This window comes from Homo sapiens, chromosome X, assembly GCF_000001405.40.
Source record: "Homo sapiens chromosome X, GRCh38.p14 Primary Assembly".
NCBI lineage: Eukaryota > Metazoa > Chordata > Mammalia > Primates > Hominidae > Homo > Homo sapiens.
Window position 1 is genome coordinate 136041137 of NC_000023.11, and position 25371 is coordinate 136066507.

Genomic DNA, 25371 nt, shown 5'->3' on the forward strand with positions numbered 1-25371 from the left:
AAGAAAAAGCCTTCCATTCTAAACAAACCTTTCAGAAATAATCTATGACATCATATAGGCTCCCCTGTTAACAAAGCCCACCAGTTTTGACTACTTAGGTGCAACACGCAGAACCTTGAGAGGGGAAGCTGTAGTGAAGCTGTGTAGACATGCACCACACACACCTCCCTCCCCGTGCCCCCATTCCCTGTGAGTGAACCTCATGTGAAACCAGATTGTATAAGAAATGGACAGGAGAGAGTAGGCAGAGTAGGGGTGGCATCTGGGCCAGGGAGGAGCATCCTACGGCTTTGTGTTATGTCGTGTCAGTGCATGTTTCTGACAGACTGTGCCTGTGAGATGGGGCACACACCCCATGTTGCCCCTCCTCTCCCTTCCACATTGCCCAGGCTCGCCTCTCAAACATTGTCTCCATTTCCACCATGCCCTGTTAACCCACATAACTGTGCAGAGAAGTCAGCCAGCTCTGTTGGTTCAGGCAGTGAAGCTTGGCTCTTGGATTCCAGAGACCCACTCGCTGTCACCAAAAGCCAGAAGAGGTCCACAACAAACCTGTGTCCTTGGAATGTAGCGAAACACAACAGGCTCCCTAGAGCAGCTGTAACAAAGTACCAAAACCGAATGGCTTAAACAATAGAAACTTATCATCTCTTATTTCTGGAGGCTAAAATCCAAAGTCAAGTTGTTGGCCGGGTCAGTTCCTTCTAGGCTGTGAGGGAGAATCTGCTCCAGGCCTCTCTTCTAACTCCTGGTGGCTTCCTGGCTATCTTGGACCTTCCTTGACTTACAGATGCATCACTATGTATCTCTACTTTCATCTTCACATGGGGTTCTACCTGTGTGCATGCCTACTTCCGTGTCCAAATTTCTCCTATTCATAAGGACACCAGTCATATTGAATCAGGGCCTACCTTATTTCCAAACAAGACCCTATTTCCAAACAAGGTTACATTCACAGGTGCTGGGGGTTAGGACTTCAACATCTTTTGGTGGGGGGTTGGGGAGGGACACAATTTAACCCATAACAACCATCACACTTAATTTTTTTTTTTTTTTTAGACAGAGTCTCACTCTGTCACCCAGGCTGGAGTGCAGTGGCGCGATCTTGGCTCACTGCAACCTCTACCTCTCAGGTTCAAGCGATTCTTATGCCTCAGCCTCCCAAGTAGCTGGGATTACAGGTGTGCACCACCACACCCAGCTCATTTTTCTGTATTTTTTAGTAGAGACGAGGTTTCGCCATGTCAGCCAGGCTGGTCTTGAACTCCTGACCTCAAGTGATCCACTCACCTTGGCCTCCCAAAGTGTTGGGATTACAGGCATGAGCCACTGCACCTGGCCCAAACGTAATTTTTTATATTATCTTTGTTAACTGCTTTTTTTAGTTATAACACTAGCAAGCTCATGGCCAAATATCCATACAGTATGGAATGTACAAAATGAAAAATCAAAGTTGCCTTCCTCCTACCTGCAGTCCTCGAGGCAGTCTTTATTATAGGCTCACTGTGGATACTTCCTGATATATTTTATTGCAAATAAATATGTGTATATATGGCTTTGTTATTGTTTTACACAAATGGGATTATAATAGGCATATTGTCCCATTACTTGCTTTTTTTTTCAATTACTGACACATCATGGATACCTTTATATGTGAGTATGTTAGATGTCTTACCTTCTCTTTTCATGGCTACGTCCTATTCCATTTCATAGCTGTAGCAAAATTCATGTATTCAGTCTCTTATGGATAGATGTTTCAGTCATTTCCTTTTTTGCTATTATAAACAATACTTATAGTGAATATTCTTTTACATATAAACTTACCTAACTATGTAAAAGTATATAGAATAGATTTTAAAGGTAAAATCACTGGGTCAAAAGGCATGTGCATTTTAAAATTTGATAGATATTGCCCCAAACCTCAAACTTAATAAAGACACTAGAAGGTGCTGAAGAGCCCCTGTGGACCTGTGAAGGAGCCACAGAGCTTGTGAGTATTGCTGAATTAAGTGATAGATACTGGTTAGATAGACTTACTGTCCTAACTAGATTAGACAGGAAGGGATTTGGGCTGGTTGGTGGATATGAGTTTGTTTGTTTGTTTTTGAGATGGGTTCTGGCTGTGTTGCCCAGGTTGGCCTCAAACTTCTGGGCTCAAGCAGTCCTCCTGCCTTAGCCTCCCCAGTAGCTAGGACAATAGACATGTGCCACCCATACCCAGCCGTTTATTTTTCAGTTCACACTTTTTTTGGTCTTTGAGTATTTAGGGGAATTTCTAGCAACAGCAGATTAAATTCCTTTTTAGATTTTGTCTAATAGTCTTCTCAGTCTATTTGATGGTCTTAGACAAATTCAAAATTTTCAAACAGACATGGGATTTAGAAAGCTGGAGAATATACTTCCCTCAAGGAGCATCAATGACAGACTGTTTTATGCTAGATCAATGTGAATATTTAGAATGATCCTTTCTCTTTAAAGTCATTTAGAAAAAATGACTTGTTCTGTTTTTTAAAAGTAATATATACTCATTATAATAAAATTTCAGATAATACAGAAACATAAAGAAGAAAAGACTTTTCTATACACACATTTTTTATTTGCCAATATGGGACTATGTATTCCTGATTCTTTTCCCTTTTGTAGAACCTTATTTAAGTATACTATTTTGGTCGTAATATTTCCATGAGAACCAAAGCTTATGGAGCTGCAGTGAGGGCTTGATATGTTTCTCTGTACCCCAAACTGTATTAGGTGGTTGGACTACGTAGCATTCACCCTGTGTCTTCACCACATGTGAATCGGTCTGCTCCTGCCACACACTAGACTCTAAGCCTCTTGAGGGCAGATTGATACACACACAGTTATAGCTCAAGGGTAAGTGCCACTACAGGGAGAGGGCCAAGTATAGGATGCCACGAAAGCACACAGGAAGGACAGCTAACCTAGTCCTAGAAGCTCAAGGAAGACTTCAGAGCAAAAGTGATAAAAGGATGTTAGTCATTTGAAGGGAAAGAGGGGTCATGTAGAAGGACCTGAAGGTAAGAGAAAGCACGAGGAGTCTGGGCAGCTGTCACACTTCAGTCTGGTTGGCAGACAATGGGGCCTTTGGTGTGGGAGGGGCAGATTGTAGCAGGAGAGGAACTAAGGATGCCAAGTCACGCTGTATTTTAAGCCAAGGTATGGACTTTAGACTTTATCCTGAGGGCAGTGGGCTACCACTTAAGGGTTTTAATGGGGGATCCTCGAAAATACTCCTATTGGAAATGTCTCTTGAACTTCTCAAAAATTCTTAAATCTTACTTTATTTGCATTTAGAACCAGGAACAGTTGAAAGATGATGATTCTGATCTTATTCTCAATGATGGTGACATCAGTTTGACATATGGAGATTCTACTGTGAACACTGAACCGGCCACATCCAGCGCCCCAAGGAGATTTATGGGAAACAGTTCTGAAGATGCCTTGGATCGGGAGCTTGCATTTGGGGACCATGAACTGGTCATTCGAGGAACACGCCTGGTTCTTCCAATGGATGATTCTGAACCCCCGCTAAATTTGTTAGATAATACGAGACATGGTCCAGCCTAAGCTTACTAATACTCACTTAGTGATTTGTAAAATTTGCACATGTGATTGTGAAGAAATTTGTACTACCTAAAAGTCCCAGTGCATGTCTCTGAATGTGTAAGCTATATAAATGCTATTTATATGGCATAGAAAGAATATAAATATCCTGTACACGGCAGATTGTGAACAAACTATATTCCTTTAAGTTTTCCTGGTTGCACTCTGTAGACTGGATCTGTTTTAGGAAGTTACTTTCACAGTGATGTTGTGTGTTCTGTTAGTTTTATGTCTCAGTTAAAGTGTAAAAAGTGACGGATTTTCTCTTTCTTAAACTTACCTGACACTTAACCAGAGTACCAGTTCTCGTGATGTGAATTAATTTTTTTGTGTGCTAGGGGAGGGAGAGTGAGGAGGGAGTGTTATTTCCTTGGGAACCTAGGGAGGAGAGGTTCCTTTGTTGGGAAACTTTTGTTGATAGCTGCTGCCTTTGTCCTGATCGTTTTCTTTCCCTTTTCTCTGGTGGCCTGTTGTGGTGCAACGAGCTGATGGCATTTGATCTTGCCCCATTCAGGTTGGGGAGTGAAGTGTGAGGACCCTTTTCCCCCGCTTGCTGTGAAAGCACAGATTCATTGACTACAGTACACTGTTGTTCAGAAAAGAAGGCTGCAAATGACTTCTGAGACTTTATGTCTTTTCTTCCAGACCAAGACCGTAGAAGGAGTCACATCTAGCCGGCTTAGCCAAAGTACAGGTGTATATAGTTCAGGGCACTTGATTTAGATTTGGAGGGGCTGGGGTGGGCAGAGAGCAAGAGGCGAGTAAAGAGAATGGTGGTTTCAGAGATCTCTCTTCCCAAATGTGTAAATATTCTATACCAGATAAGTTTAAATAAGAAATTTAATTGCTGCTTAATTTTTGATTATGTACTTTATCTGTATAGCAGGCTTTGTCGTCAGAAGTTTTTATATCGATTTAAATTGCTGCTCTTTAGCAGCCAAACAGGAGCAAAATGTAAAATTTTTGAACTTACTGTGTCTAATCATCATTTGTTAGTCTGTAGTTAATGTCAACAGTTAATTTATGAACCCACGATCGTTCCACACTGCACCAAAGTCAGTCATAAGAGAAATCGAATATTCTGGAGCACTGATTGCAGCAGGGTGGCTCCTTTGTGTGCAGCAGGTGTAGTAGTCTTCATTTTCATGGTACGTTTTAATATTAATTACCTAAGCTGCCATGCATTTTTTTTTTTACAGTTCTCAAGGAAGAGCACAGAACAATTTCTCATTTCATATTTGGAGTATGAAAGTAGATTCTATTTTGTAATGCTGATAATACCTAAAGATGCATTGAATGCTTGGAAGAATGCTTTTTGATGTTGATTTTGACCTGTTCATGATTCAGAAGAAAAACAAACTTTTTTGGATTTTTTTTCCCTCAGGTCTGAGTAGCATTGCCTTAAATCTTATCCAGTTAGAACATTGATTTATTTACATGATGTTCAGATTTTCCAGTGAAAAATACCCTTCTGAACAAAACATGTACTTACTCTCCGAAAGGCATCTATCTGTGCTATTGCAAACACTCCTTGAGATTTTAGGGGAATTCTAATGTTGTACCCTTTCGTGGCAGCTTTGACTGTTGGCATAGCCATTTGTTATGTAGTGGTAGCGACTTTCCTGCTATGCAGGAATCCCTCCCATGACGTGTATGTTTTACATGATGTGTGCCTCTTCACGCAGTAAATAGTTTCTTGTTAATGTATGTTTGAGGAGTTTGAACGTCAGTGTCACTTACCCACAAAGTTATTCAAGTTGTAAAAGGTTATACAATAATTTAACAACTACCTTTTTTATTCTGTCGGGTTACTGACCTCACTTTATGTAAATACTTCGCATGACAAATTCAGTAACTCGTCTATTTCAGCATGCATAAGACTTTTCACTAGGGAAACTGATAAAGCTTGAGTCAACTAAATCTGCCTTCATACTTTATCAAGGGGAACCAAGCCTGCTGTGCTTACATCAGCATCTGGAAGACTTTCCTCTCCTCTAATCTGTGTACACATCTCCAAGCAAGGAAGAAAAAACAAACTCTGCTCAGACGCCTATGAAACACCTGAATGAACTTTGATGAAGTACAGTCTGAGTTACCATCATGCACAAGTAGAACTGCTCTTGGACTTGTTTTCCTGTTGTTTGTGGAACCTACGCGTTTGAATGGCTTGAACGTTGCATCTTTTAAAGTTATTTTTTAAGGTTTCTTGGCATTTATCCTAGTTGTCCGTGTTTGGCAATGTGCTGTTAAAGTAATAGACTTTTAATCTTTATGTATTTTTTGTTTTCTCTGGAGTACTTGGACAGATGTTATAGTGGTTTCTTTTAGGAAAATCTGTCATTAAAAAAGTTATAGCCTTGCAAATAACCACTCACAGTATTTGAGTCACAGTTTATTTTAGTGAGACGTAAAGAGTGCTGACTTCATTTATTTTTCTACCTATATACCTAGTGGAAAAGGGGAAGACTAATGTTTTCAAATAAACAAACAGAAACCTAACAGAACTTAACTTATGGGTTGGCAAATTTTTGGTGCTTATGTGTAAGGGTGGATGTATTTGCTTATGGTCACAATTGGACTCTTTAGGAAATATGACTCAAAGCTGTCAAATTCTATTACATTGATTTGTAGCCTGTTAGCTTAGTAATGGATAATGTTATAAAAATGCTGGTATGGGGAAAGAGAATTCTATATCCAGTTAGGTGGGAAGGCAGTTCCAAGTATATCCAGTTAGGTAGGAAGGCAGTTCCAAGTTTGGCTAAAAGCATGATCACACAAATACAAATAGTCCTCCTTCCAAGTTAAAGACACGTCTCTCTGTGCATGAGAAGTTTTATAGGCTAGAGTCTGCTGACTGCAAGTTTGTCTAGTCCAGCAATGGCACCAACCACACTGTCTGTTGTGTTTTCTTGTCATCCACTCCAGCTTCCTTGTTTATGGCCCAGTGAGAGACATTGGTGGGGGATGGTCCACACACAACAGGCTCTTTTCTTGAAGGAACCCATGTTTTCTAATTCCCTACACAAAACCCTACATTAGATCTGAGCAGGTACAGTTGTTAACCTGACCCAATGCAGGAGTATAATGAGATGAGAGTCCCCGACAGGACGTACGCCACACAGATGATGTAGTGTGAGGCTTGAAAATAAATTGGAAATGATAATAATAGTTCTCATTTTTGAGCCCTTCTTGGGTACTGGTCATGTGTATACAAGGCATTTTAAAATCTATAATCATGCATTGAGGGCACATTCTATCATCCTCAGTATACAGATGAAACTGAGGTGCAGAGAAGTCACACAGCGAGTAAGTGGCAGAGTCAGGACCCAAGTCAAGTCTGACTCCAAAGCCCAGATGCTTACTATTTTGCTGGCCCCAAAGGCAGGCTCTGCTGATTCATCCTGATTGTAACCAGAAGGATGAAGGGAATTGCAGAATTGCTTTCTAGCCTGCTGCCCCCGACCTGCTTGTCATCAGGCCAGGCTAAGGCATGAAGTCTCAGCTCTGTGCCTCCACTTGCTGCTGTGTTCTTGGCTGTCTTGTTGGCGTTCCCTGGTTGGGAGGGTCCTCGCATTCATAGCAAAGGGCCCTCCAGTGTCTTGTTGGGCCCATGGGCGAGCAGCCTGCCTAGCAGCATTTCTTCATGCTCTACCTCCCAACATTATCACCAAGGGGCCCGGATTTTATAGCAGAGTTTGCAGTCCTGAACAATGGCTTTGCATCCCCACAGTTAAGCATAGTAGAAAAAGCCCAGGCTCTGGAGTGACACAGACCTGGGTTCAAACCCAGGCTCTGCTGCTTGCTTATTGTGTAATGTTGACCACTTACTTCACTGAGCCTTTTAGTTTTCTCAGCTGTAAAGTTAATTCATTCAAGAAATATCTGAGTGCTTACTTTGTGCCACACACAGTAGAGATAGCAGCAAATAACTAAACAGTTCCAGCTCTCATGGAGAGTATTCTACGGGAGATGTAGCAATCTCATGGGGTTCTTAGGAATCATTCATGCAGGAAAGACTGATTGCCTTCTTGCCTTCTAGCAGGGGGGGATATCTTGTTTTTATGTTTTGTTTTGTTTTTGGTTTTTTGTTTGTTTGTTTGTTTTGAGATGGAGTTTCGCTCGTTTCGCTCTTGTCGCCCAGGCTGGAGTGCAATGGTACGTTCTCGGCTCACTGCAACCTCTGCCTCCCAGGTTCAAGTGATTCTCCTGCTTCAGCCTCCCGAGTAGCTGGGATTACAGATGCCGGCCACCATGCCGGGCTAATTTTTGTATTTTTAGTAGAGACGGGGTTTCACCACTTTGGCCAGACTGGTCTCAAACTCCTGACCTCAGGCGATCCACCCGCCTTGGCCTCCCAAAGTGCTGGGATTACAGGCATGAGCCACCGCGCCCAGCCGATATCTATCTTAAGTAATCAACAAATAAAAGAATCGTGGCTATGCGCGGTGGCTCATGCCTGTAATCCCAGCATTTTGGGAGGCCAAGGTGGGTGGATCACGAGGTCAAGAGATTGAGACCATCCTGGCCAACATGGTGAAACCTGGTCTCTACTAAAAATACAAAAATTAGCTGGGCATGGTGATGTGCGCCTGTAGTCCCAGCTACTCAGGAGGCTGAGGCAGGAGAATCGCTTGAACCTGGGAGGCAGAGGTTGCAGTGAGCCGAGATTATGCCACTGCACTCCAGCCTGGTGACAGAAAAAGACTCCATCCAAAAAAAAAAAAAATTATAAGTGCTAGCTGGATGTGATGGTGTGCACCTGTAGTCCCAGACACTCAACCCAGGAGGTTGAGGAAGGAGGATTGCTTCGGCCCAGGAAGTCAAAGCCACAGTGAGCTGTGATCACACCACTGCATTCCAGGCTAGGCAACAGGGCGAGAGCCTGTCTCAAAAAAAAAAAAAAAATGCAGGACAGTATGAGAGGGTACTGTAATCTGGTGATAAGGGGACTGGGGAAGATTGTCCTGATAAAGTGACATTTAGACCTCAAGTAAGTCAAGGGTCAGCCATGTGAAGCAGGGTGAGGACAAGGATCATTCCAGGCAGAGCAAACATTGATATTCCACCCGACCTTTATTCAGTCAAAACATTATTGAGTGACAAACACACCACATGCTGTGCTATCCTGTTTACATACAGTGAGGAATACCATAGACACAGGCCACCCTTGCGGCACTTACAAGTTAGTGGGGAAGACAGTAAGTATCCAACAATTACATAAGCAGAGCAAGGAGCATCTTGAACCAAAATCTGCCCCCGCAGCATCCTCTCCCTCGCCTCTGTCCCACTGGATCTCTTAGGGCGAGTTCACTCCCTGCTTTTGTGTTGCCACCTTCAGACATTTGAAAGGAGCTGGTATGTCTTCCCTGAGTCCTTCTGTCCCCATGCAAAACAACCCCATTCCCTTTCTGTCTTCAGGACATCTTCCAGAAGTCCATCATTCTTTTATGAACGCACCCAAGCGCACACTGGCTTTGTTTCAGTGGCTTCCTCACGTGCTCATCTTACAGTGGGTGGACTGTCCACAGAAAATCTGAGCCAATAGTGCCCTGCCCTCATAGAGCTTACATTCCAGTCAGGGAAGGCAGACCGTAAATCAACATACACACAAAATCATTCAAGTTGGGTAAGTGACAAATAGGAAATGAGATAGAGGGTGATGGGTGTGCGGAGGCAGGGTGGTTGTAGGAGGGACATTCAGGAGGTCTTGCTTAAGGGGTAACATTAAAACCAAGACCTGAAAGAGCCAGCCAGGCAGAGAACAGTGGAAGAGTGGTGAAAAGGTCTGGTTTGGGGTAGATGCTCACCGCATGTTTGTTGAAAATGAGTGAAATGCTCTCCTGACCTTTATGGAGCTGGATTTTGAAGTCCAGGGTGGTGGAATAAGGAAGCAAGAGGGTAACAGTCAGGAGGCCTGAGTCCTAGCCCTGCCTGCCACTAGGCACTTTTAGGAAGCCACTTCAACCTGCCTGAGCCTGTCTCTTCCTTTATAAAATGATGGCAGTTCGCTGAGCTATTACCATGTGCCAAGCACTGTGGTAGGTACTGGATACTGGTTCCAGCCCCAAGTCACTGCCAGGCCTATTGCGGGGGGATCAGATGAAGTGATGTACGTTGAAATGTTTTGACTGGGATTCAGAAGACTGTCGAAACCGAGTTTGAATATTCGCTAAGGTTTGCTGATGAGGTGCTATTTGAATAAAATACGGAAAAGTCTTTGCAGACCATGCAGCTACTTTGGGCTGCTTTTCTTTGGAATCTCCAGTTTAGCAATTTGGAGGTGCCCCAAGTGGTTGCCACGGTAAACACTGAATTCTGAGAACTGGCTTAGTTGGGGCTGTCATGGCTGGAGCCCGAACTCCATGAGACCTGGCAATTTCTGGCCAATTCTGCCCAGTGAAAGAACCCTTTCCTTTTTTTTTTTTTGAGACGGAGGATCACTGCAACCTCCACCTCCCGGGTTCCAGCAATTCTCCTGCCTCAGCCTCTCGAGTAGCTGGGATTACAGGCATGCGCCACCACACCCAGCTAATTTTTTATTTTTAGTAGTGACAGAGTTTCACCATGTTGGCCATGCCGGTCTTGAACTCCTGACCTCAGGTGATCCACCTGCCTCGGCCTCCCAAAGTGCTGGGATTACAGGCGTGAGCCACCGCCCCCGGTTAAGAACCCTTTCCTTTACCATGAACCTGTACTGCAGTTGCAGCTTGAGGAGAGGACTCCTGTCCTCCGTATCACTGTAGGACACCAGGTTGGCTCATTTTCCATTTGCTGCTGTCTGGTAGGCACTGGGTCCTGCTAAAGAGACACAGCTCAGTTGTGCATGTCACTTCTTTTTCAGTGATGAAAAAATGTATTGAAAGCTCTCTGAGCACTTCTTGGAAACAAGGTTTAATTTCTCCAGATTTGTTGGAATTTTGAAGTGGTTCACTGTATGTTTAAATACAAATCCTACAAAAACTGCATGAGAAGTATTCAATTTTTGGTTGCTTTAGGAGTCACGAGTCTTTATTGCATGATTTTTTTTTTTTCTGTTCATTTGAATTTCTTATACAGCTGTGTTCCCATGTGGACTAGGCAAAAAGCATGTGAGCTGTTTTTTCACCAGAAAAAATCTGGAACACTTCTGTCAGATAATAGAAGTTGCCTGTTTTTTCAATCTTAGAGTTGGTTTCGTGTAAGAAAGCAAGATAATGGCAATTGGACCCCCGATTTTGCCTCAAAATTGGTTTTTTAACACTTTTTTGAAACTCAACAATCAAAGTTTCATTTGCTGAGGGGAACGAAAAGGTTGATATTTAAACACTCCAGTCAATCAATATTTTGCTTACTAACATCCAGTCAATAGACACTGAGAACCTCACCTGGGCTGAGCCCTGGGCCAGGCACTGGGAACGCAGAGGTGACAAAATCATAGCTTCAATTGAAAAACAAATGCAGCCAATTAAGTAAGAGCATTGCCATTGTATGAAAAGCATTACAAGGGGGGCGCTGAATGAAATTCAGATTCCTCTCCTGCTGCTGCCTATGGTGGGCAGAAGAATGGCCTACCCAAAATATCCACACCCTAATCCCTGGAACCTGTGAATATGTTCAGTTACATGGCAAAGAGAATTAAGGATGTTAATGGAATTAAGGTTGCTAATTAGATGACCTTGAGGTGGGAGTTTATCCTGGATTATTCGGGGGGGGGGGCCCAATCCCCTTAAAGTGGGAGAGCCTTTCCTGGCTATGGTCAGAGAAAGAGATGTGATAACAGAAGCAGGGTCAGCGAGATGCTACGTTACTGGCTTTGTTTTTTTTTTGTTGTTGTTGTTGTTTTGAGACGGAGTCTCATTCTGTCTCTCAGGCTGGAGTGCAGTGACAAGATCTTGGCTCACTGCAACCTCCACCTCTCGGGTTCAAGGATCCTCCTGCCTCAGCCTCCTAAGTAGCTGGGACTACAGGTGCATGCCACCATGCCCAGCTCATTTTCGTATTTTTAGTAGAGACGGGGTTTCACCATGTTGGCCAGGCTGGTCTCGAACTCCTGACCTCAGGTGATCCACCCACCTCGGCCTCCCAAAGTGCTGGGATTACAGACGTGAGCCACTGTGCCTGGGTCAGATTGCTGGCTTTGAAGATAGAGGAAGGCAGCCTCTAGAAGCTGGGAAAGGCAAAAAAAAAAAAAAAAAAAAAAAAGGATTCTCCCCTAGAGCCTCCAGAACAAACACAGCCCCACCGTCCCCTTGATTTTAGTCCAGTGGGATCCTTGTCAGACTTCTGACCTACAGAACCATCAGGTGTCAAGTGAGTGTTGTCTTAAGCCAGTGGTCCCCAACCTTTTTGGGACCAGGGACTGGTTTCATGGAAGACAATTTTTCCACGGATTTGTAGCGGGGGAGAAGGGGGGATGGTTATGGGATGATTCAAGTGCATTATTCATTGTGCACTTTATTTCTATTATTATTACATTGTGATAGATAACGAAGTAATTATGCAACTCACCATAATGTAGAATCAGTGAGAGCCCTGAGCTTGTTTTCCTGCAACTAGACAGTCCCATCTGGGGGTGATGGGAGACAGTGACAGATCATCAGGTATTAGATTCTCATAACGGGTGCACAACCTAGATCCCTTGCATGCACAGTGCACGATAAGGTTCGCCCTCCTAGGAGAATCTAATGCCACTGCTGATCTGACAGGAGGCAGAGCTCAGGCAGCAATGCAAGCAATGGTACTGGTACTGGTCTGTGGCTTGGGGGATGGGGGCCCCTGTGTTAAGCTACTAAGTTTGCAGTATTTTGTTATGGCAGCAATAGGAAACTAACCCACTGCCTTTGAGGGAGAAACTATTGTCTCTGATGCTATTTTATTCTAAGTTCTGCTCTGTGCCAGGCACTGTGTGTAGTGCTGCAGATACTGAACTGAGCAAGACCCAGACTTCAGAGTCTGGTGGGAGAGACTAGCAGGTATACAGATAACCTTGGTGTGGTGCAATAGGAGACATGATGGAGAAGAGTCCAGGTGACAAATGCCAGGCTGGAGAAGGTCCTGCCATTTCTCTGACATTAACATTAACCTAGCTCTTTTTTTTTTTTTTTTTGAGATGGAATCTCACTCTGTCACCCAGACTTGAGTGCAGTGGCACAATCTTGGCTCACTGCAACCTCCGCCTCCCAGGATCAAGCAATTCTCCTGCCTCTGCCTCCCGAGTAGCTGGGATTACAGGAGTGTGCCACTGCGCCCTGCTAATTTTTATATTTTTAGTAGAGATGGGGGTTTTGCCATGTTGGCCAGGCTGGTCTTGAACTCCTGGCCTCAAGTGATCCACCCACCTCGACCTCCCAAAGTGCTGGAATTACAGACATGAGCCACCTCACCCAGCCTCTTTTTTTTTTTTTTTTTTTTTTTTGAGACAGCGGCTTGGTGCAGTGGCCCATGCCTGTAATCCCAGCACCTTGGGAGGGCGAGGTGGGCAGATCACTTGAGGTCAGGAGTTTGAGACCAGCCTGACCAACCTGGTGAAACCCCATCTCTACCAAAAATACAAAAATTAGCTGGGCATGGTAGCAGACGCCTATAATCCCAGCTTCTTAGGAGGCTGAGGCAGGAGAATCGCTGGAACCTGGGAAGTGGAGGTTGCAGTGAGCCTTGATCATGGCACCACACTCCAGCCTGGGCAACAGAGTGAGACTCCATCTCCAAAAATAAATAAATAAATAAATAAACAAACAAACAAATAAGACAGGGTCTTGTTCTGTAGCCCAGGTTGGAGTGCAGTGCCATGATCAAGGCTCGCTGCAGCCTCAACCTCCAGTGCTCAAGTGATCCTCCCACCTCAGCCTCCCAAGTAGCTGTTTATTACAGGCACGTGCCACAAAGCCCGGCTATTTTTATTTTTTATTTTTTATAGAGACAAGGTCTCACTATGTTGTCCAGTCTGGCCTCAAACTCCTGGTCTCAAGCAATCCACCTGCCTCAGCCTCCCCAAGGATTGGGATTATAAGCATGAGCCACTGCACCCAGCCTAACCTAGCTTTAACTAGCACTTTCACATTACTCACTGGTGTAAGAATTTTTCCCAGGCCACCATGCTCAATATGTTACCAGGAGTGGCAATGTATGGAAGACATGATCATACAGGGGTTTTAGAAAGATCACTTACTGTAGCTACGGTGGAAAGGATGAATTATTTGGAGATGGGTAACAGTGGACACAGAGATGATGGTTAGAAGACTTGGTCAGGTGAGAGAGAATGGTGGCCTAAGCACAGGAATACAGTAGGGGTCGAAAGGAGGGGACAGATGCAAGAGACATCTGGTTGGTGTTGATTTGGAGACTAGCCGTAGTGAATGGGTGAGGGGGACAGGTTACAGTGATTACCAGCAACCTGGATTGGGCAAATCAGTGGATGGGGTGGTGGGAATCACAATTTTAGAAGATACCTATTAGGACCAAGAGATTGAGAGATGTAGCGGTCAAAGCACAAATCTAAATTTGTTTCTGGATCACTTAGGTAAGGGTAGGTGGAGCCCAATTAAGAAAAGAGGGGAGGGAGAGGAGGGCTAAGGGCCCCAAACAAAAAGGCTGGGAAAGGATACGAGTTTGAAAAACACCAGGGTTTGCCATCCATTCTCTCATTATAACCTAAAAACATCTGGAGCTTTTTGCTATGGGTGGTGTCTGGGGAAAAATAATTGCTTTAACCAAAGTACAATGGATGGAGGAAAAAATAAATTATTTTCCCTCCTTACGAAAAACAGAAAGCTACAGAAGTTCTCAGGGAATGATGGGTGGTGTTATTAGGAAACTTTCAAATGTACGTCACTCTGGATTTCAGTGTATTCACCTCCAGTCTGGCCAGAAGAATGAAAATATATGTTGTGGGCTCTCTAAAACACAGTTTTTAGCATTTTCCAGAAGGGTCAAGGGCCAAGGAATGAATACTGGATGTGGAAAGGAAGCCACGGCTAGTTGGCCAGTCTCTTTCTGGTTCTGTGTGGGTTTGCATGCAAGCTAAGAGACGGCTTCGCTTTTTGCTTTTCCTCAGAAGCTGTTGCAAGAGTTCTCAAGCAAATCCAATCTAGTGTCCAAGCCCTCTGGTATGCTGTTCTCAAACACTGTGTGCCACTAGCTTGCTGAAACAGTCCGTGCCTGACCTGCTGTCTTTATGGAAATTTGAACCAAATAGCAACTGTTGGGATGGAGGTCATCCAATAGGCATGGATACAAACTTTCAAAATATTGGGCTTTGCCTCACTAGAAGGAAATCAGCAAGTGACAGTATAACTGAAAAAAGAAAGCTTAGGGGTCTATATTAAGATGAAGGAAACATCTGGTTTTTGTTTTCTCAACTTTTATTAATTCATCAGAGGTGTGAGTCACCAGTACACTCAGCCAATGTTTCCAAAATGAAGTCCTCATTGCCTCCGGAGTGGCTGGGAAAAGTCACTTCAGAACTAACTTGAGAGAAAGATGATGGACAAAGAGATGTCTTTTTTTTTTTTTTTTTTAAGAAATGTAGTGCTGGTCCTGATACGTAGAGGTCTTTCCTAAAATTGCTTGTGTTAAACCCCAATTACATTCCTTCCTCGGCAGGAATTTATTTCTTCACCCAGAAACTGTAGGACTGATGTGCTGACCTAAAAAACATACATTAAACGCAGAACCTCCCCTTTACCTACAAAGGCAGTCCAGGACAAAGCTGGCTATTCTATGTAACAATGGAGCCCACAGCTCTGCTCTCATTACACTGAGCTCTGTTCTTTCTGACCCATTGGTAGGGATGTCAGTAGTGCGATTCCAAACTCTGTTTCATAGGAAACCAATGACTTGATTATACAAATTCTTCCTTCATTCCTTCTGTCTGATCTAGAAAGTCAGAGGTACATCAGGCATGCTGCCTGCACTCAAGGAGCTCACAGTCTAGTGGTGAAGATAGCCTTGTCATTAGATACATGGTTTTAGAGCTCAGCATTTATTAGATATGTGGTTTTAGAGCTCAGCATTTCTAGTTTGTAAATGTAATAGATCAAAATGGCCATTTTTTTCTTGTAGAGAACTTCATGCCATCTTTTCATTATGCCCTTTAGCAGGATCAATAGCTTATTATTAGATATTTTTGGTATTTCTCTGATTTCTCCACTGATTTTATGTGAACAAGCAGCATCTGTGCATGTAGTTTCTGTACCACGCATTTGGAGTCACTTCTAAGGATGAACAGAAGAACTTACAAGGTAAATTAAAAGCAAAAGTAACTGGCACACTGCTTCTATCTGTGCTGAGCCAGTTGCCACTTCCTCTCCATAACCCTGGTATATTATAGAACTTTTTCTTGTTGTTAGGCTAAGGAAGAAACGAAAGGGTAGCTTCAGGCCAGTGGCTCACGCCCGTAATCCCAGCACTTTGGGAGGCCGAGGTAGGTTGATCACCTGAGGTCAGGAGTTCGAGACCAGCCTGGCCACCATGGCAAAACCCCATCTCTACTAAAAATACAAAAATTAGCCAGGCTTACTACAGAGGCTGAGGGGGGAGAATCGCTTGAGCCTAGGAGGTGGAGGTTGGTTGCAGTGAGCCGAGATTGTGCCATTGCACTCCAGCCTGGGCAACAAGAGCGAAACTCTGTCTCAAAAAAAAAAAAAAAAAAAAGATAGCTTCAGATACCACTCTAATTATACAGCATCTAGAGTCTGTACTTATAGACAATGATCCAATTCTATATCAAATAAAGCACAAACCAGGTCTTAAATATTTTAATGACATGACTGAATTCAAATAACAGTGTCTAGTTGGGTAGTTCAGGACAGAAATTTCCAGCTTGTGGGCATTGTAGTTTCTTACTGTAAGATAGTCTTTATATCGTGTCCCTTGTAGTAAATGAAAACTTCAATCTTTATAAAGAAAATGATGTCATCGGCTTGCCCTTTTCTCTAGTCCCCATCAGATTGAATTTAAATATGATACCGGCAAGAACAACAGAGTAAATGATCAGTTTGTGATGCATCTGGTCCAAGGGGGATTATTTTGACAGTCTGTTCTAACCATACAAACAATGTTTCCAATAAAAAGTTTTATTAGGTGTTGTCACAGATATAAATGTTTCATAAAGATAGCACTCCAGTTGTAAATCATACTTGAAATCATTCTAAAGTCACCTCATTAGATACCAAGAAAAACTATGTCTTTCACATAAATTCTGGCCTCGAGTGACTTTAAAAAAAAGGAGCAAAGAATAAAAAAACAAAACTCAAGCCCCAGCCATCTAAGGCTGAACTTTAAGAGAACTGACAGGAATAAGAAAATTTCCTTTGTCTGTTTTTGTAATCTTTTTAAGATCATACACTTCAAACATTTCATTATCTTCCTGGGTCCATCAGATTCTCCAGAAATGATGGAAGTGGAAAAATAATCTAAACTCACTTTTTAGAAAAACTCTGGCTCATTGGCCAAGCGCGGTGGCTCACATCTGTAATCCCAGTACTTTGGGAGGCAAAGGCTGGCAGGTCACCTGATGTCAGGAGTTTGGAACCAGCCTGGCAAACATGGAGAGACCCAGTTTCTACTAAAAATACAAAAATTAGCCGGGCCTGGTGGCGCATGCCTGTAATCCCAGCTATTCGGGAGGCTGAGGTAGGAGAATCGCTTGAACCTGGGAGGTGGAGGTTGCAGTGAGCTGACATCACACCACCACACTCCAGCCTGGGCGACAGAGTGAGACTCTGTCTCAAAACAAACAAACAAAACCTCTGGCTTATTGAAGTATGATTTATATGCCATAAAATTTATCCTTTAGCATATAGCTCTGTGAGCTTTGAAAAACATAGACGGCCGGGTGTGGTGGCTCACGCCTGTAATCCCAGCACTTTGGGAGGCCGAGGCGGGTGGATCCCCTGAGGCCAGGAGTTCGAGACCAGCCTGGCCAAAATGGTGAAATCCTGTCTCTACTAAAAATACAAAAAATTAGCCTGGCGTGGTGGCAGGAGCCTGTAATCCCAACAATTCAGGAGGCTGAGGCAGGAGAATGGCTTGAACCCAGGAGGCGGAGGCTGGAGTGAGCTGAAGTGAGCTGAGATTGCAACATTGCACTCCAGCCTGGGCAACAAGAGTGAAACTCCATCTCAAAAAAAAAAAAAAAAAAAAAGAAAAAAGAAAAACACAGACATGTAACTATCACCACAATCAACAGACGAATCGGGTTCATCTCTCCAAAAACTTCCCCTGTGCCCATTTGTAGTTAATCCCTTTCCCCACCCTGGGCTTCTGACAACCACTGACATATTTCCTGTCCCTGTAGTTTTGCTTTTTCCAGCATGTCATATAAACAGAAGCATACAGCACATAGCTTTTTGCAGACCTGCACTTTTGAAATTAATGACATTGTTTTCAGATTATAAAAATAATACATGTTCATTGTGGAAAAAATTAAAATATTTAAGAAATGAGACATGAAAATGCTACCCAAAGATAACCATTGTTAACATTTTAGTGAGGCTTCTTCCAGTCTTTTTACTCTATATGCATATGCACCCACACATTCAGAAACTTTGGAAAATTGAAATCCTACTGTATATAAGATTAACTCTTTCTTGAGAGTGAAAGGCATGAGCCTAATCAATGGGCTGAGGGATAGAAAAGAAACAGGCACAGAACAAGATGCAGAGGAGTAACTTTCCAGGCTGCCTTTGGAGGCTTGGTGGCCTCTGCATTTGGTTTCCCAGGCTGCTTGCATTCACTTGTTTTAAGCAAAGACCATCTTTTATTTTTTAAAATTGTTTTGTAGGCAAAGGGTCTTGCTATATTGCCCAGGCTGGTTTCAAACTTTTGGGCTCAAGCAATCCTCCTGCCTTGGTCTCCCAAACTACAGGGATTACAGGTGAGAGCCTCCACTCCTGGCCATCTTTTTGATTTGGATGCTGGCTTTTTCGTGAACTGAAACAAACACATTCCCAGGTTGAGTTCGATGCTGGTTCCTCTGGGGACTGACAGTGCCCTGTGCTCCTCAGCTGCAGAGAACTCCTCTCACTACATTAGAATTGTTCATTTATTTTATCCATCTCCCCCACTAGACAGTAAGCCATAGGCTCAGACACCCTTGTCTCAATCGTCTGATTTCCCCCAGTGTTAGGTATACTGCTCAGCAAAAAGTAGATACAGGAACCTACCAAGAATGTGAGGGATGAACAAAGGAGCGAATGAATGAACAAACCAAGATCAAACATTCCCTTTACTGGACTAGTGACTGCCACTCATTTTCTTCTCTTCTGCTTTACCCACAGAAGAGGAAAAAATACCTTTTTGAGCATTACTCTGGTGGCTGTCACAGAAGGGGTGAATTCTGCTTTCAAATGTTTTGGCATTTTTTTGACTCACAGCTACACAACCTGACAAGATAGCCAACTAGCTACTTCTCATGTTTCTGTGGCATGCCTCATGCACTGCTCCATGGAGCCGACCAAAACCGTATTGGCTGGGAGATGTAAAGTGCCAAAAACGGACCTGGCAAGGAGAAAGAAGAGGCGATCTGCTTGGAGTTGCCATTGGTGGGCACACAAACCTGTGAGTGGCTCGTGCGTGCTTCTCCATGGCCATGCAAGCTTTTGCCCTCCCTGCACTTCACAGGGCTGGGAGAGAATGGAAAGTCTATGTTTAAGATCAGGGTAAGCTCACGTCTGTAATCCTAGCACTTTGGGAGGCCAAGGCGGGTGTCTCACCTGAGGTCAGGAGTTCGAGACCAGCCTGGCCAACATGGTGAAACCTCCTCTCTACTAAAAATACAAAAAAAAAAAAAAAAATTAGCCAGGTGTGGTGGTGGGCACCTGTAATCCTAGCTGAGGCAGGAGAATTGCTTGAACCCGGGAGGAGGAGGTTGCAGTGAGCCGAGATCCCACCATTGCACTCCAGCTTGGGCAACAAGAGTGAAACTCATTCTCAAAAAATAAAATAAAATAAAATAAAATAAAAAACAGGATAAGTTGAGAAAGAAGAAGGTAAGGAGAGGGAGAAAGGGAGAATTACAACAACAGAATTAAGGCCATTGTCATTTTCCCCTTTGATCTGAATCGTCAGCTATTTCCCGCATGTAATAATAATAGCGGTTGTCTCTTGTTGAAGCACCTAATCTGGGCCAGGCACAGGGTTAAGCCCTTTATAAGCATGGCCTCATCGAATCCACAGAACAACTCTCTGAGCTGAGTGCCATTGCTATCCCTTTCTTGCCGATAAGGAAGGAACTGGGGCTCAGAGTGGTTCAGCGAAGGTCCAAGATCACACAGCTACTTAGCACAGTGCCTGGCCTACAGTGAACACCCTGTCAATGGTAGCTGTCATGGCGATTATTACTATGATTAATCATAAGAAATGGCTGGTGCCACCATCGGCTCAAAGCAGACTGAAGTCTCAAGGCCCAAAGCAGGCTCTGAGGTGCAGACTCCCGGGGGCCTGCTCAACAGGCATGAGGACCTCGACTTCCCTTTGTGCTTCTTCAAGACTTGGGATGGTGGCTCCTTGGGTGGTGGGGAAAATGATGCCATACTTGTGTCTGGCTCCTTCTTGGTTCCCACAAATGTCCTTAACATTTTCCATTTTCTGAGTGGCTTTTGTGAAACTGCTCTGATGTGGTTGACAGAACTTATAGTGGGATCCAAGTCAAGCCTTCCTCCAGAGGAAAGTTGGAAGCCTTTAAGGGTCTTGTCAGTGCTCACGTAGCCCACAGCCTCCTGCCTAGCATTGGCCAAGGCCAAGGCTTCCCGGCAGTCAGCTCTGGATCACAGCACACTCATTGATTCCTGCGCTGTTTCCGGGGGTGGGAAATCAATCCCCTATCGGCCTGGCTTGGGCTTGCTGGGCCTTTTCTCCAGGGAGAGTTTCGCTGGGGCCTCTGATCTGCACGTGATGCTCTTCATGGTTCAAGGGCTGTCGTGTCCAACTCAAGATGATTTCCTTTTCCGTGTTTTCTGCAGCTTTTTTTTTTCAGGACCCTAGAAAAACTTTGAAACTTAAAATTACTCGTGTGCCAGGAATTCCCACAGCCTCCTTGTGAGGGGTAGGTGAGCACCATATGCTGTTTATACAAAAATAAATGGCTTCCCCCCATGAAGCACATGGGCCCAAATCACTGGCTAACCCCCTTTTTACCTTAGCAGCTGGAGCAATGGCCCTCTGGATGAGAATGCGTACGCAGATAGAAATTTGGCTCTAAAAAGCCCTGAACAGTTTGTTTGTACAAGAGCTTGGTCTCCTAGAGAGGCAGGTGGTGGGCAGGCCAGTGTCCCTCTGTGGGACTAGCTGAAGAAAGCAGGAGAAGACCAACATGCAGTGCTGGACAATTACCTTGTCCCTCCCCGGGGCGGACTTTCAGGGAGGTCACCTCATCTTAATCACCACTTCCCCAACATCATGAGCCCTAGGACTGGGTGCAAAGGAGGGGTATCTCTCTTTTTGAAATTAAAATACTTGAAGTTATCGCTTCACTTGGGCAATAGATGTCTATTAATTCATTCCTCAAGCAATTATTGAGTACTTACTATGTGCACATCTGAAATTGTACCAAGTGCAACTCCAACCACTTGCCCCAGTGCTGACCCAACAACAACACTGGGCCAAAACTAAAAGTTTGGAAGTGATGGAGGCTGCAAGTTGACAGCCTGGGCAGCTAGAGAGTGAAAGTGTCAGTTGCTGCATTTCGATGGGATTTTATTCAAGCATGTATTCATTCATTCATTCATTCATTCATTCATTCATTCAACCAAGATTCATGAGTGTCTACTGTGTGCCACATAGTGTGCTAGGCACTAGGGATATCAGAAGGGAGAATGCCAGCTGTAATCAAAGGGAACTTCAGATAACAGTAGCTAACATCTACAGAGTGTTTATGTGTGCCAAGCACCATCATGAGATGGCTTCTCTCTTTTAATGCTCATTCCAGCAGTGGCAAGGAGGTCCAGACAGATGGGGAAACTGAGGCTCAGAGATTTTACTGACTTACTCAAAGTCACATAGCCAGAAAGTGGCAGAAGTTAACTTGCAGAATCCAAGTGAGCCCAAGGGCCTGAGGTTGTGTTCTTTGCTGGTTACTACACATTACTGTACATTACTGCCTGCTGCAGGGATTAGCTAGCTGCAGCCCACAGGTCGAGTCCAGCCCATTGACTGTTTTTGTGCTGCCTGAGAGCTAAGACTGGTTTTTGTATTTTTAAGTGGTTGTAACAAATCAAAAGTATATTTTGTGACACATGAAAATTATATGAAATTCACATTTCAGTGACCATCAATAAAATTTTATTGGAACACAGCCATGCCCATTCATTCACGTCTTGCCTAAGGCTTTTTCACTACAGTGGTAGAGTAGAGCAGTGGTGATAGACCTATGGCCCGCAAAGTGAAAAATGCTTACTATCTAGCCCTTTACTGTCACTGACAGAAAAGGAAACAGATCTCAGCCCATCTCTGAGTTCAGGTGGTCCCCAGAGCCCTGCCTCCCTATCCCAGCTCTTCCTCAGCAACTCAGAAAGACCACCGGGGAGACTTGAGTGAGCATTTCAGATGATGGCTGCCTTTGAGTTATTTCCAGCACTTCCTTCAGAGTCTTTGAGGCTGAAATGTTTAGGGTGGTATTAGGTTTTTCATCAAATGTTTAGATGAAAATGTAGACAGCCGACTTGGGGTTATTTGTGAACAAAGCCCTAAAGGCAAATCTTATTGGTTTTTGCTGAGAGGTGCCAAATTATCTCAGCCTCCACTGGGAGCTGCTTGTGGGGCCTTATATGGGCATAATCTCCTAAGCCAGGCTTGCCTCACTCTGCGGCATGGTTGGATCCACTTTTAAGGTTATGTGTGAACATTTCTTGTCTTCCTGTTTGCTCAAGCTGTGGGGAACTTGGCTTTTGCCACACTTTAAGGGAACATAAATGCTGTCCACTTTGAGCACGTTTCATTTGTATGTCAAAGATGACAACTGCCTTCCTTTTGGAATTCTTCTCCCTTTATATTTGTCTGTAGGTGGAAGGAAGCATTTTTGTAAGTGCTGGAGTCGGGGAGATGTCGCTTCATTATCCTAGTTGCTTCCTGGGATTAGTGTGTCTGAAGAGATGTTGATAAAGGAAACATTTACTGTGTGTCTATAGGCAATGAATGTGTCTGAGGCATTCCATGGGCGTTAGCTTACTCAAACCTTGCAAAATGCCTTCACTCACTCTTTCAACAGGTATTTATTGAATGCCTACTAAATGCCAAGTCATGTGGTAAGCCAAGACAGTAATGGGGAGAGCTACTCCAGACTGGGAAATCAGGAACGGTCTCTCAGAAGACATTTAAGATGAGGTCTGAAGGATAAGAAGGTGCTGGCTGGGAGACTCTTCGTAATTGGATTGGAAATCTTGGTGCAGACATTTGAGTTAAGAGAGTTAATGAAAGAACTGCGCCAGCAACTCAGTTGACCAGAGCCCCATGCTGAGGAACCCAAGGCTACTGGGGATTTTGTTCTAGAGACCTCAAAATGGAACCCTAACCTAGGCTTGCCCTGGAAAATATAGCTCTGGTCCAAAGGAGATCAGCTGAGCAAGTGAGGCTCCCCCCACTATTGGACACCAAATTCTGCAAATGTTTATGGGGCTGTTCTCATAAGCCCAGCACTACCTAGGTTTTGGGAATCCAGAGACAAATCAGAGAGCAAGGAGCTCAGGGTCTAGTGGAGGAAATAAGTCATATAATCAAATAAATGACTCGACGATGTACTAGGTACAACAAAAGAAATATGTATAAGATCTCAAGGTAGCACAGAAGAGGGGGTGCTGAACACACTTGGGAGGCCCAGTAAACAGCCAAGGGAGGCTAAATTTTGAAGAGCCAGAAGGGCCCTTCCAGAACAAGAAACCTGCATGACCAAATGCCCAGAGACACAAAGCCACATGCCAGAGGCTTCATGCCACTGGGTCTTTGGGGAATAAGAAGACCTGTTATTTTCGAGCCTGAAGTACAAGGTAGAGAGTAGTGGACATTGAGATTTCAGCAAGGGCAGTTCAGGGTGAGCTTTGGGAATAAGTGTTTCGGATTTGAGCCACACTAAAGGTATGTAAACACAAGAAAGGAGATGTCTGTGTTAACTTGCCTTGATAATGCCCCTCTTGTTACCCAATCCCACTGGTTTCAACTTCATCTTCTGGGAACCTATGGTATTTCAAAGACACTGCCTGATCCCTTTCTAGACAAATTTTATGCTTTTGGAAGTGGCATTTCCCCGCTAAGTACTTTATACTGTTTTCTTACAACTTTGCAAAGCATCTGCCATATGGTATTTCTCCCAAGTGAGAGATTATTGCCTCTTTATTGGAGGGGGGGAGCTGAAATGAAGTCATCTGTCCACTGAAGTGACAGCTGCAAGCAGAGATGTACTCTCTAGGCAGCAGGCCTGCCGTCAGAGCCCAACCCGGTGCGCCTTCTCCAAGAGCGGCTGTCCCCTCCCAGCCTCCTGTCGCCGCTTTCCCTTTCTTCTTGCTTCCTGTTATATAAGAGCATTTTTGCAGAGATGAGCTCTGGGCTTGTTCTGAATATTTTAGGTGTCAAACATCCTGTTTTTCTCTGAGTAATGTGACCCTGTCAATGACCCACTGCATTTCAGAATGACATCATGGGATTCAACCGAGAATGGTTGAAGAGAAGTGATTATGGGAGCTCAGGGACCTCTGCTTGCCCCTTTACCTTTCAGCAAGTTGTTTGGAGATGTCAAACAAGAAGTCTGCAAATGAGTGTCTGCTTTGCACAAGAGCAGGGGTTGGCAGACTAGGAACTGCAGACCAAATCTGGCCCACAGAGCAAATCCATTCCCAGCTGATTTTGCAAATAAAGTTTTATTGGCATTCAGCCATGCTCATTTGTTTGAGTATTGTCTAAGGCTGCTTTTGCACTGCAATAGCAGAGTTAAGTTATGTAACAGACCCCATATGGCAGGCAAAGCTGAAAATTTTTACTATCTGGCCCTTGCAGAAAAAGTTTGCTGAACCCTGCGCTGAAGCTCTCTCCTCCTACACCCTAGGAAGAGGGCACATGGATTTAGCGTGCTCTCATCCCATGACTGAGTACCCGCCCATTCCTTTCCCCTCTTCCCCAAACACCTGATACAACAAAAAAGGTAAAGGTTGATTTTCAGCAAGCATATTGGGGCTTTCGTATGTATTAAATGTCATCAGAACTTGCACATTTATTAAATGTGTTGCCTTTCTAAGAAGTTCCCTAAAGAAATTGCACACACTTAGGCTAGGCACGGTGGCTCATACCTGTAATCCCAGCACTTCTGGAGGCTGAGGCAGGCGGATCACCTGAGATCAGGAGTTCGAGACCATCCTGGCCAACATGGTGAAACCCCGTCTCTACTAAAAATACAAAAATTAGCTGGGAGTAGTGGCACACACCTGTAATCCCAGCTACTTGGGAGGCTGAGGCAGGGGAATCACTTGAATCTGGGAGGCGGAGGTTGCAGTGAGCCGAGATCACGCTATTGCACTCCAGCCTGGGTGATAGAGCAAGACTCTTGTCTAAAAAAAATAAAAAGAAAAAAAAAGAAAAGAAAAATGAAATTGCACACTTATTCCAATGTGGCTGCCAGTGTGCCAGACATTGCAGGGAGTACTCTTCAGAGCCAAGCTATGTGACACCTGAGAAAATCCACTTCACCTTCTTTTTGGACCCAAAGTAGTGCAGCCTTGTTGGAACATCTGCCTAGTTGCCATGGATCAATGTTGGCTTATTTTTTCAAACAACAGCAAATTCAGC

The 25371-nt window shown here is 44.1% G+C and overlaps 1 protein-coding gene across 11 annotated transcripts in view; it reads left to right on the forward strand.

Moving 5' to 3' along the window:
- The window catches only part of SLC9A6 (solute carrier family 9 member A6), a 73433-nt gene extending 67300 nt beyond the window's left edge, over positions 1-6133 (forward strand). For all 11 annotated transcript variants that reach the window (NM_001400909.1, NM_001400910.1, NM_001400911.1 and 8 more), the window contains one exon: positions 3316-6133. In NM_001400909.1, coding sequence (NP_001387838.1) covers positions 3316-3588 — 273 coding nt within the window. In that variant the 3' untranslated portion in view covers positions 3589-6133. The remainder of the gene's footprint in view (positions 1-3315) is intronic.